At 41.5% G+C, this 12,825-nt stretch overlaps 1 protein-coding gene across 11 annotated transcripts in view; it reads right to left on the bottom strand.

Moving 5' to 3' along the window:
• The window catches only part of PBX1 (PBX homeobox 1), a 326,864-nt gene that overhangs the window by 31,382 nt on the left and 282,657 nt on the right, over positions 1-12,825 (bottom strand). For 4 of the 11 annotated variants that reach the window (NM_002585.4, NM_001204961.2, XM_047421783.1 and 1 more), the window contains one exon: positions 2,835-8,082. The exons of 5 other annotated variants lie outside the window; for them this stretch is intronic. In NM_002585.4, coding sequence (NP_002576.1) covers positions 7,990-8,082 — 93 coding nt within the window. In that variant the 3' untranslated portion in view covers positions 2,835-7,989. Of the gene's footprint in view, positions 1-2,834; positions 8,083-12,825 lie in introns of those variants that run through there. 2 more of the 11 variants (NM_001204963.2, NM_001353130.1) reach the window with 2 other exon arrangements.

Raw genomic sequence — 12,825 nt, 5'->3', positions numbered from 1 at the left:
GTGACCTCAGAAGTCTGCCTAAGGCTGGAAGCCATAGGTTGAATCACACTGGCCTCGGTGGTCAGCAAAACCACTTACTTCTTTGTACACTATAGTAGCTTTTATGCAGGAATGAGAGGGAACTCCCCAAAGCAGAACATCATTCCTGATTCAAGGATCCAGATTAAAACAACCTTCTTGAACTTACCCACTGAATGATTTGATAAGACTAGGTTCTTGTGCCTTTCTCCACAATGGATGTTTCCAGAAGGAAGGCTATATTCTGCATACGAAATGGTGGTCAGTAAAATTGACATTTTGTTGCATGTTTTAAAAAAAAATTTTTTTTAATTTAAAAGGCTTATCAAAGTAAGCAGTGGGAGTGGAGAAGGAACAAAGGAATCTGTAACTGGTTGTAATCAATTAGTTGCAAACACGACTGCACTTGGACCAGTCATGTCTGTTTTTGAAATGGGGATTTGGCCAGGTGCGGTGGCTCATGCCTGTAATCCCAGTTCTTTGGGAGACCAAGGCAGGAGGATCACTTGAGGCCAGGAGTTCGAGACCAGCCTGGCCAACATGGTGAGACCTCGTCTCTACTATAATTACAAAAATTATTTGGGCATGGTGGTGCATGCCTGTAATCCAAACTACTTGGGAGGCTGAGGCAGGAGAATTGCTTGAACCCAGGAGGTGGAGGTTGCAGTGAGCAGAGATCACACGAGATACCGTCTCAAAAAAAAAAATAAAATAAATAAAAATAAATAAATAAAATGGGGATTTGGTGGAAGTCTAATCTATAAGGATAGCCATGTACAAATCTATGGTTTGGGAGAAGGGGTGAGCGTATGAGATTTTGTGATTTTAAGGGGTTAGACCTACACTTTACCATACTCTTTAAGATGACTGCTGGCTGCCAGACTTGATTCTTCCAGCTAGCAGTAAACATGTCAGTGTGACCCGAAGATGGCAACAAGGTGGCCCTAACGTACTGCAGCTCTCCCTTCCTAATGACCACAGGCTCGGTGCTAAGGCACGCTAGAAAACAACATTTGGAGAACGTCGGAAAAAAGGGGTCGTTTCTCTCACATTCTTACATTTCTATAGAGGTGGAGACTTCTGTTTCCTCTACTTTAAGTGGGCAATATTGGATTGGACATCTCTGGCCCCTGTTAAATCCCTCTCTTGATCTTCTTTGTGAAGAGTAATCAAGCCAAGTGTGGAATGCTGACATGGAAATGTCTCTACTGAAAGTGTGTCCAGTCAATGAAACAGCTATAGATGGGCTTGTCTTTTGCTCTTCCTTATCCCATCACTAGGTGTGATGGACAGAGTCAGCTGTCCACAGAGTTACTGTGTGCAATTGTTCCCAGGAAGTGGCTGCCTAGCCAGGGACTACTTTTCTAATCCCCACGCCTACCCCTAACCCTTGCATTTAGGAATATGAATGGAAGTCTTGGTCAAGGCTTTCAAGAAGCGGGTGGGCCTTCTTCACACCCTTTCCCTTCTGTGGGCTAGATGTGAAAAGCTACAGATTCTTGGAGGATGGATGAGCCACAGAGTAGAAGCAGCTAGATCCCCAAATTACTTCAAGGAGAGGCAATGACCAGGGACATTTGCCTTAGGCTATACCGTAAGTGAGAAATAGCTTGTATTGCATTTGAGGCAGTATACATTTTTGGTCTGTTTCTTACATCTATTTAGTACCACTCTAAGTAATACACTAGGTGGGTGAGTTAGCCCCTAATTTTCCATGCAATTGAAAAAGGAAGTAATCGGAGCCTGCTTGCTCCCGTAAGTATATTCCAATGTTTAGATTTGAAGAGAGAACACGAGTCCTCCATTTTGGCTTCTGGTGACACTCACCAACTCAACATTAGCAGATAGCTGTAAACTTTGGAGGCCAATGGGCACTTAGCTTGTCCATTAATAAAAATGATAATTTGATTCCCATAGGCTGGGGATGCTTTGATCTAGTTTCTATCATTTAGAATTGTGATTGGGATAAGTGATTATTACCTCAACTTTCAATACATACTCATCTCATAGAGGATCTGGACAGAGCCTCATAGGAGAGCTACAGCATGAAAATGAGAATGTAATGCATGTGATGGCCCTAGAGTAACATGTCAAAAGGCAGACAAGGAGTTCCATCCCACTCTATGGATGGGAAGATGGTGTTAAAGACTTGGGCACAGACTTAGGTGTGGAGGCCTGGTGTTCCAGCTAGAACACTGGGGATACCACACTCTGTAACACTTCGAAACCTCAAAGGTCAGGGGTTCAATATGAGTGCAGACTATTGGAAGAGATGCTCCTTTGGGATGGTAGGCATAACAGATGGTAGAGATGCACATCTGTTGGGAGTAACATCTATCACACTCCTGAGAGCCTACAACTGGGTATTATTTGTAACCTAGATTCCTTCCCCTGAAATATCTCTTGGGAACCACAATTTTTCTTATGACCAGATCACAGCAGACAAAGAGAAGAAAAGGAGAATCACTGGGCAAACAGCCATGACTTAGGAACTTAGAATTTATTATGGAAAATACTCCTGGCATTTCTCTGAACTGGTGCTTGGTGGATGGCTGCCAGTAGCAAGCAGACAAGATGGGGTGCTCTGTCCCTCTGTAATACAGCTATTGTTTACCCACAAATGATCCTTCCTTCCTTCCTTCTTATTTCCTGAGTGAAGAAGGTGGTCCATAAGGTCTCTGCCCCACCACCATAGTATGTAGACTTTTCAGTGATTAGGGCAACAGTTTAAACCATAATCTACACTAATGCAGGCCTAGTTTGGGGAAAGAGAAGTTGCCAGCATGTAAGAAAAGAAATGTGCACAAAATACAAGTATTTTTTTTTGCAACAAAAGAAACTATTTATTTGGAATATGCATTACCAGTACAAATTAGGAGACTGTAAAACCTACACCGTGTTAGTATCATTAGAGAACACAAAAGTTCAGTTGGAATCAAAAGGGACAGAAGCCTGTGCTCTCACAGAAGCAGAAAAGCTTAAACTTTCAAAACCAAAACAGAGCAGAGCTTTGCAGGTTTATATTCTGAATAATAAGAAAAGGGGAGGGGTAGGGGGAGAATAAAACCAACAACCAAAGGAAAGCATTTCAAATTGAAAATGCCAAAGGAAAGAAGTAATAAGAGAGAAAAGGAGAAAAACATTGAATGTTTTATTTATTTTAACAAAAGAAAAAAAAGTTTACAAAAAATAAAAGATTCCAGGAAGCTTTGAGCTAGGGATTGAAACCATAAAGGTGATGTGAAAAGCTCATCATTATTTTGTTGTGACTTCAAGAGTACAAGTGTTCAGGTAGAAATATTTCCTAAAGCATTGCTCCACAATTCTGCATTCTTTCTTTACTTTTCTTGCTTAAGTTCTGACCACTTTCTGAACATAATTTGTTGAATGATGGTATTTAAAATGAATTTTTTTCCAGATAATATGGCTTTCTTTTTTCCTCTAATAAAAACATTCCAAATCAAGCCAGTTTTGCAATTTGCTTTAAGCAGCTGCCTAAGTCAGAGGTTACTAAGAGGTGTACTCTGTGAAGTAAACGTAACCTCTTAGCATTAAAACTACAGCATTGAGCCTGGCCCAATATCTCATTAACTCTTCATCCAAAACCAGGACTCAGCTGGCAGACTGGCCCCAAGGACTTCTTCCTGCATGTAGTTTACTTAACCAATGGTGCCCATCATACCAGCATCTCCTGCGGGACTCTCCTGGAAGAAAAGGCCTCTTTGGTTGGAAGAGGCCTCATGGAATGTAGTTATTAATTAGGGAGAAATAAAACAAAGTACTTGGCTGTGATAATCAGAATCAAAAACAGCAAAAACCTTTCCTGATAGCATAAAAAGTTCCCTTGGACTAAACGTTTTTGAATTTTTAAAAGGCTAAAAGGAGAAGTATGTCCCTGATTTTATTTTTCTCAGGGACTGCATGAGTGTCACACTCTCTGGAAATGCAGGTGAGCAACGAGACATCAACATGGGCTTGATCTTCGCTTTTGGCATTAACTGAATTCTGAAGCAAAGTAGAAGAACAAGCCTACTTGTTCTTACTCCTCTGCCCAAGTCATCTTTTCACATCACCTTGTATACATATTGAAGAAAAACAGCAAGATCATAATCCTGACAATTAAAAAAAGCCCCCCAATAAACAAACCAAAAATAACACAAAACAAAACATTTTTTTTTTTGTATTTTTAAGAGCAAGAATCAAGAAAAGAAAAGAATTTATTTCTGGGTCTCAAAGTTAATAAACATAATAATGTGTTAGGTTGTACCTATTATGCTCACTATTCCAACCTTTTTTTTTTTTTTTTTAGTTTACAAAATGAATTACTGTCACTTTTAAACATTGTGAAACAAGAAATGGATGTGCACAACTCGACACTTTTCTAGCATTCTTGAACTAATTCACAAATGCAAGAAAATAAAAGAAAAATGAGGGAAATGATGAATGTAGGTAGTCTGGTGTTAAAAACTAATGCAGGAATGATGCGCATTGTCACAGAAAGAAGAGGGGAAATTCCCCATCCTGTTTTGCGTGCTATGAGGGTCATTTTTAAAATTTTTATTATAAACACTATTAAATTCAGACCGCTTTTTTGGTTTTTTTTTTCTTTATCTGAATATACAAGAACATTCATTATCAAATGTTCATCATCAATACTACAAAGAACGAGACACAAGTCGCAAGAAACAATGGAAAATGTTAATAAAGCTGAAAGAATCGTTGAGTATTTTTTTGTTTCTTTTAAAGTTTTTTTTAAATTTGAGTTTCTGTAGTTTCATCTTTTTTGGTATCGAAGTCAGGTTTTTCTGGGCAGAAAAACAAAGAGCAGGAAAGAGAGAGACAGAGAGAAAGATGTGTGAGAAAAGACAACCAGCAAATAAAGAATCACCACCATAGCAAAATAAAACATAAATTGAAAGAAGGTGCCACTTGGCAAATGTACTGCACGGGCGTCAATTCCATGCCAGAGGGAGGATGGATTAGGGATGAAAAGGAGGAGATAAGGAAGAGTTACAAGGTGGGCAAACCCAGGGTCTAGTATCGTTTCTCAGGGGAAATTCGCTGTCGGGGAAAATGGAGCACTCCCACATCTATTAGAAAATGAAGAAATCCTGGGGTGCATCTTGCTCTCTGTAGGACTGGCCTCATGTGAATTCCCAGGAAGCTGTGTTTCCAGAGGCATGCTCTTTCCAAACCCATCCTGCTGCTCTCAGTGTTCTCCTGCTTCGCCTAATGTGGACAGATCTCACGGATGCCACGTTGGAAGTCGGAAGTGATAGTGGGCTTGCCGGGGGTGCCGGGGGAGGTGCTGGGTATAGAGAAGACTAAGTGAAATGCTGGTTGGGGAAAATGCTGTGAAAGGTGATCATCAGTGAAAACTACGGCCCGGAGAGAAACTGCCTGTGCAAATGTAGCCCTGTTCTGATCTTTTGCATTAACTTAACATGGCAATTATTCAGGCCACATCTGGAGTCACTCTTCTTGTTTCCAAGAGAACCCTTTTGTCTCTCTTTCGTACTTTGCCCTAAGTCAAGCAAATGTGATTCAACCATGTTCTTGCGTGGGTAGTTTCATTATATTCCTGCCACTAAGATGGAGTTCTCCACTGATTCTAATCACTATGAAGTTGTCACAAAAATGCTCCTTCTAGGCATCTGTTCTGATTAGGGCTGAAGTTAGTAGACACAACCTTTCTAGTGCCTTTTAGTCATCAAGGCATAATTTCATTTTGCTAAATACTTAGTTTTTGCATTTCCTTCAAATACACATTCCCTTGAGTTTCTTCAGTGGCATCCCCTGCTCCCCTGAGCACACACAGTGTTTTCTATTTATGACTGTAGTGCCAAGCAGAATTTCCATGTTCTTGCTAGCTGCCCATTCTCACCCCTCAGGGTCTCATACTTCTCCCTGGAAGCCTCCCAAGCAGTCAATGTGACAGGGACCAAGTATGTACAAGGCAACATATTGGGTTCAAGTGCAAACTAAGGGAACCAGGGCCTGTTTTTCTAGTTTGGAAGTTTTTCTTTATCCTAAGAAAAGAGACAGACCAAAACCAAGAAGATCAACAATAACTCTTCTCTTTGTCATCACGGTGATGACATCAAGGTACTGATATTAACCAGAAGTTACAACAAGAAAACCATTTATTGTCCCTAGATGGCATGAACCCGTTTATTTCAGGGACATTACTTCCCCTGACTTCGCATTTACAGATTGGATATGAACAAAATCAACTTCTCAGTCTCTCACAAGACTCTTAGTAAGCCAGGCATAACAGTTCCCATCTCACAGATGAAGAAAATGAGGCACCAAAATATTTGACCACCTCCCACTTAATCAAGTGATAGAGCTGCCATCTTTATAACTGGTAGGGTTGGCTATGAAGATGGTGAGCTCAGGTGACTTTTGAGAATAGCTTTCATATACATGCTATTTTCTCATGTATTTTTAGTACACGCTGTGTTCCCAGGGAATAAAAATCACTGTGATGATTTCAATGAAAACATTACCTTCCCTTTCCCCATGATTCTCAGGTCCTCAAATGAAGCTAGCAAAAGTTCACATGAGCCACGTTCTTATACAACTCTTTCCTCCAGAGCAATAGGTCAGGACCAAGAACATAGTGTGGTATAACATTTTGGAAAATTAATACAGTGTGCCTAATATAAAACAAAAAATTAAACAGAATCAAGTCCATTAAAGACATTGTAAGTACTGTATGGGGCTCCCTGAGTGCTCCAGAGGTGGTGGGAACAAGAGTAGTTTACACTGGAAACCTGGTCTTCCTCATGATCAGGTCCTGTGTATGCCATTCTGGTAAGTGCACGCTAGTGGGCCTGCAGGTCCTGGAAGCCCCAGACACATACTGCTTCTCTGTGTCAGTGACCTTCACTTAGAGTCACTAATTCCCTCTCTCGGGCTCAAAAGGCATAGTGCTACAGTTATTAATGTAGGTAATTGTATATGGCATCTCGGGAAAGTGAAGATGTGAGATGGTACATGTGCCTACATGTGCATGAACGTGTGTGTCTATGAAGGCATAGTTGAGGTTGAAGGGTTTCACGATAAGAACTTTCTATTCCTTGCTGATGCATTCATCACCATGCCTAACTCAGGCCCAGTTTTGCAATAGGTTCTAAATATTGCTTTCTCAGTGCTGAATGGTCTCCAAAGACTGTGCCTCTGAAACTGAGAGCTATTGCTAGCAGGGTAAGAAAGACTGTAGGAATTCTCCACCTGCTGTTCCCGTGTCCTTCCCTGCTGCCTGACTTCCTGCCCGGGAACCAACCTAGTGGAGATGAAACTGAAAAATGTGGCACCTTTAGAATCCCAGCTATGACAGTCCCCAGTGAATAGCTGGGGCTAGGAAGGAAGAGGAGGAAAGTGTTCCAATCAGTACTGTCCCCAGGGAGGAAGAGCAAGAGGAAGCAGGGAGGCCTGGAATGAATAGGGCAATGTGGAGTATTCCTGCTAAGAGGTAGTGAGAGTAATAAGAGAAACAGAGAAGGATTGCCTGTTAACATAGGGAGTGAGGGATTCGAGTGAGGTAAATTTGGCTCCTCAAACCACCAGCATGAAAACGTACAAACACTTTTATTATTTTCTTTGTAATTTTTTTCCTCTTTAAATTCCTCTAATTGTTGAAAATATCCTTCAGTGATATGAGAGAGGGCGGGGACCCCGGGAGTCTAGGACAGAGGCACAGGGGCAGGGAAGATGACGAAAACCAGGCTGACAGCTGGAGGCAGGGAAGGGTGGCTTCTACCCAGAAAAAAAAGGGAAGAGAGTATAAAGAAGTGTCCAGATTGGCTGAAATAGCATCCCAAAGAAGAGAAGAGAAGGAGACTCTTATTGTGTTTGCTGATTGCTTCGACCTCCAGTCTGACCGCTTCAGCGTTGGGAGAGAAACCCTCCCTCCTGCCCCTGCCCCAACTGGGGCACAGGGTCAGCCGGGATGCGATTGCTGGGAGATCAGTTGGAGGTATCAGAGTGAACACTGCCAGGGCCTTCTGTAGGGGAGGTCACTGATGAAGGGGTAGTAGCATCCTGCCAACCTCCATTAGCCTAGAAGGGAAAAAGGGAGAGAAGTCAGTCCTCTGAGATTGGGTGGCTGTTTTCAGCAGACAATGACAATGAGGCATCTTGTGTAAAGGACCTAGCATAGTGCCTGGCACATGGAGACACTCATCAAATGGGCAACTATTACTGTGGGTGATAATATTGCCCCCACCCTCAAATAAGTTTGGGTCCTCCCAGTGAGCCTCTGGATATGATGTTAATACCTCCCACTAGTATGATGTGTTTATACTTCCCAAAGACTCTGTAATTAAGTCCCAGCCAGCAGTGAAATGACAGCTGTCCTGCAGGTCAAGGGACTCAAGTTTTGGTTCTGGCTCTGGCAACAACTAGCTAATGTCGATGGTAAAGCACCTTCACCTATTTGACCTTAGTCTTCTTTTTTGAAAAATAAGAAGGTTGGCTCAAATGCTTTCTAGGGTTCTTTCTGACTCTGGATGTCCCATGTATTTATGGGATTCCAGGTATTTGTTCTGCACAAGGTTCTATACTAGATGCTCATGGGTATATAATGATGAGTGAGATGTAGTTCATGTGTTCAAGGAGGGAGATAAGCCCACGAATGAACTTATAAATCAAGGCAGAACCTAATAAATGGTAGAGTCCCATTGCTATGAAGTTTCAAATGAAAACAATATCACATTTTGTTGCAACATCAGGAAATACTTCATAGAGGGAGCACTCTTTGAGGTGAGTTTTGAAAAGTACAGAGGCTAATTCAGGTGACTATAACAGATACAACAATGGTGCCAAGGCCATAAGGACTAGTCTGTGTGAATATATCCAGAGAGGTGGTGAGACGGGAAGGTATAGGCTTGATCAATATTTGGAGATCATTTTACAAGACTCTAGATCCAGGAGCATCCCAACAATAAAACTGTTAAAACTGTTCTAAAAAAATCTGTTTAGTAACCACCCCTTTCAAAAAAATCCCAGCACTAAAATAGTTGAAGAATGCTTTGCTATAGTGGTTAATTCATGATGCATAATTCATGATTGCTTATATGTTTTAAAGCATTGAAATATAAGTGTGCTAAAATGCCTTTCCCCCCTTCGATTACTGTGTTCCTTTGTAGTTCACGTTGAACAGATCAGGTCTGAGACATCCCTGGTAAAATGTTTTCTATTGTACTATCCTCTCATTCTCTGAAAAATTTGGGGGAGATGGGGCAGGTATTATTGTTGCTGCTTGGGAGGGAGCACCACTTCAACTCTTGCATACTCCATGGCACCTGGAGTATGCCGTTCCCATTTTATTCATCAGAGAGCAGAGGTGCAAGAGAAAAGCAGGTGTCCCGGTTCACGACTGAGAACACAGGCCTTGAGATCTTTGAATTCGGGCTCCATTTTCTCTGCGCTTTTCAACCACTTGGCTTTCTTTATCATTGGCTCACCCAAATGATGCTCCAATTTTCCCAGGAAAGCCAGGCTTTTAATTCAAAGCAGCTCCTACCAGTTACTTCAGCAACAGGGTAGGTTTTGTTCACACCTCACTGAAAAGCAGATCTGGATACCAAGAGGGCATCCTGAGCAATGCCAAGAACACCGCTCCCCAATCTTGGGTCAGCAAATAACTGCTCTCAAGTTCCAATCTCCCATCTCCTAACCCAGTCAAGTCACTCCTCTCACTCCTTTTCTCTGTTGGAGGACATTTCCCCCTGCTGTTTGTGATAAACAGATTAGACGGAGAACAATAAGGAGGAAAATAATTCTTTCTTTCATAACAGAAAGCTTTTCCAACTTTTGGGGGCAAAGACTCTGTAGTATAACCAGAATCAAGAACAGAATTCATTCAAATTCCTAATGAAAGTCTGCCATAGGGGTGATAATATTGTAGCCTCCCATCCCAACCAGGAATATAGATTCTGGTGCCATTTTAGGCTGACTAAGAATGGCGGCCACGTTTATTTTTCCCAAAGAAGATCCTTTAATGTCATTTTTTAAAATAAAAATAAGATATACTTATCGCTAATATTTGGGAAATTAGAAAGCATAAAAAACAAAACATACAGCATGCACCCATAATCCTACTACTTGGGGAAAATTATTCAGCTTTGATGACACATATAATTGCTTTGGTATCTGTTTCTCCTACTCATTTTTATATGTGAATGTTTACCAGATAGATATTTAGATAGATAGATAAGTAGACAGACAGGTAGATAGGCAGGTAGATAGATAGGTAGGTAGACAGACAGGCAGGCAGGCAGGAGTGTATCTGTAGGGGCAGGAGGTAGGGGTCCTACTTTTTAGAGGAAGCACGTCACACTGGGGAATGCAGCAGGTTCCCGAGATAAGAAAATCTGGATTTCCAAAGCACAAAGATATTTGGAAACAAAGTGTTTCAGGAATAAAAATGACTCAGCAGTACAGAAATTTAAGAAAACTTTTTTTTTAAGTTTTTAAGTACAATGTCATGAAGTAGAGTAAAATTCTGGTAAAAAAAAAAAAAAAAAGAAAGAAAGAAAGAAAGAAAAAAGGCATGTATCTTAGAATCACCCTGGTATAAAATAAGCAGATAAGGAAGCTCTATGAAAGCAGTGAGCGTACATGTCATAGGTCATGGAACAATGGAGTTCTATTACATTGCTCACAAATCACCACTCTATCATTTTAGCCATGCCATAATTCCATTAAGATAACAATAAGTGGTGCAAAAAATGAAGCCATTAGTAAAGAAAATTAGTTCTGTGGTGTTTCATTAAGAAGGAATTGACAAGGCATTCTATATTGCCCAGAAGGTTCTGGGAGACTTCTTCTTGAGTCATCCCAGACCTGAAATAACTCAAATAGTAAAAATTTGATCTCTTTTCTTTAAAAAGTTCTGTTTTCTCAGACCAGTGTGTAAGATGTTAGGGGGTATAGAGAACCCACAGATGGGAGAAATAGGAATTATTTCAAGCTAATCTCAAAACCAGCATTATATTATTCTAGTTGGCCTAGTGAAGAATATATAAAACCTTCTAGCTAAAAGAAATACATTAAACAAAACCTCTTTCACTCCCCTTTTTTCCACTCCCCCTCCAACCATAAATATGCACACAGATACACACACACACACCCCCTCAGATTTGGTGACCATCCATCCCAGTTTGCCCAGGACTTTCCCATGTTAGTACCTAAAGTCTCAGATCCGAGTAGACCCCAACAGCCTGAGCAAAATGAGACTTTTGGCCACCCTATTCCAGGATATGCCAGCTATGACCTCCCACTTCTCACCAAATTTAGGACATTGTAGCCTATAGGGTTTAAGTTAGAGAAACACAAATACTTTTTAGAAGAAGCATGTCATGCTGGGGAATGTGGAAGAATTCTTTTCTCTAGAGGTGCTTTATAGGACGGTATATTATTTGCTGCTGTTACTGCTAAAACCATCATAAGATAGAAACTGCAAGCAAACTCAAGTTAACTGGGTTTCCTGTAAATCACTTCGGCTGCTTCAGCTGTATCATTCTAGCTGTGATGGAAGACGTTCAGAGGCTGCACCGTCTTGGGAAACAGCTGACCTCGCTTACTGCCACGTTAACCCTGGGGAGCAATTCCTTCCCTCTACCTCGACTGTGGGTGAATATTAAGTAGGAAACTCCGCCTTTGTGTGTTTATTTATCTCTGGGCAGAGTGAGAGGAGAGGATGCTTTCATTAACAACTGTGCGGTGGGTGGGGGCGGGGTGGAAAATAAGACTTTTATTTTTATTTTTTTTCTGCACCTCAGCTTCCCTCTCTACTTTCTGATGCAAACAATTCTTTATAATGAACACACTCTTGGAAATGCTAATGTCATAAACCACACTGAGGGGTCACAGGGTGGGAGGTAAAATCTGCAAAACCAAAGGTACACTTTTAATTGCTAAAAACAATTTAGTGGAAGAGTGTCTACATTTGCACTCAGTTTTATATAGGTAATTCTGTGGCCTGTGATGCAACACCTGGGACGTGTGACCCAATGTAACTTTTAATTCTACCAGATGAAGCCTAAGCCAGCAGAGCAGCTCAACCTGGAGCTCACCAAGAGAGAAGCTCATAGAATATAAAACTAAGATAAAATACAGCAGGTTCCCAAGATAAGAAAATCTGGATTTCCAAAACACAAAGATATTTGGAAACAAAGTGTTTCGGGAATAAAAATGACTATTTACTCTATGGTCTATCCTAAAGAATTTGGCATATAATTTGATATACACCAAATTTTGCTAGAACTTCACCTAAAAGGTAATGCAAAACATGCCTGTCTGAGGAGGTAGAGGGAGCTAGCTCTTGAGCCAAGGATGGGGCAATGGCAGATGGGAAAACCCACGTGGTTTCTCCTGACAGGACACGTGACACAGAATTGCAACCAAAACCCTGCCTTTTCTCTACCACCCTCCTTGAACCAGAACGGGGACCACAGATAGTTGCTTCTCCCTCCCTGTTGTGGATCCAGTGCTGCTTTTAGCCCTGAGCAGCGGCTGCAGGGCTGAGAAGCACCTGCCCCATCTCCTCTTTTTCCCACTCTTCCTCTGCGATTACCTTAGCAGCACACGGTTGATGCAGAGAATTCATCACCTGATGTGACAGCCCAAGCAAGCCTGGCACTAAGAAACTCTCATTTGCAACCCAGAAATACGCTGAGGTGCCACAAACCGGCTGATGTCAGCACAGAGTGGAGCTAGATCTGCATATGGGCCAGATGCCATTACTAGAGATGCCTTCAGCGTGGGTGAGGAGCTGCACGTGCTCCAGCCCCTCAATCA

Source organism: Homo sapiens, chromosome 1 (genome assembly GCF_000001405.40).
Source record: "Homo sapiens chromosome 1, GRCh38.p14 Primary Assembly".
NCBI classification, from domain to species: domain Eukaryota; kingdom Metazoa; phylum Chordata; class Mammalia; order Primates; family Hominidae; genus Homo; species Homo sapiens.
The sequence above is the reverse complement of the archived record's forward strand: the minus strand, read 5'-3'. Positions and strand labels throughout refer to the sequence as shown.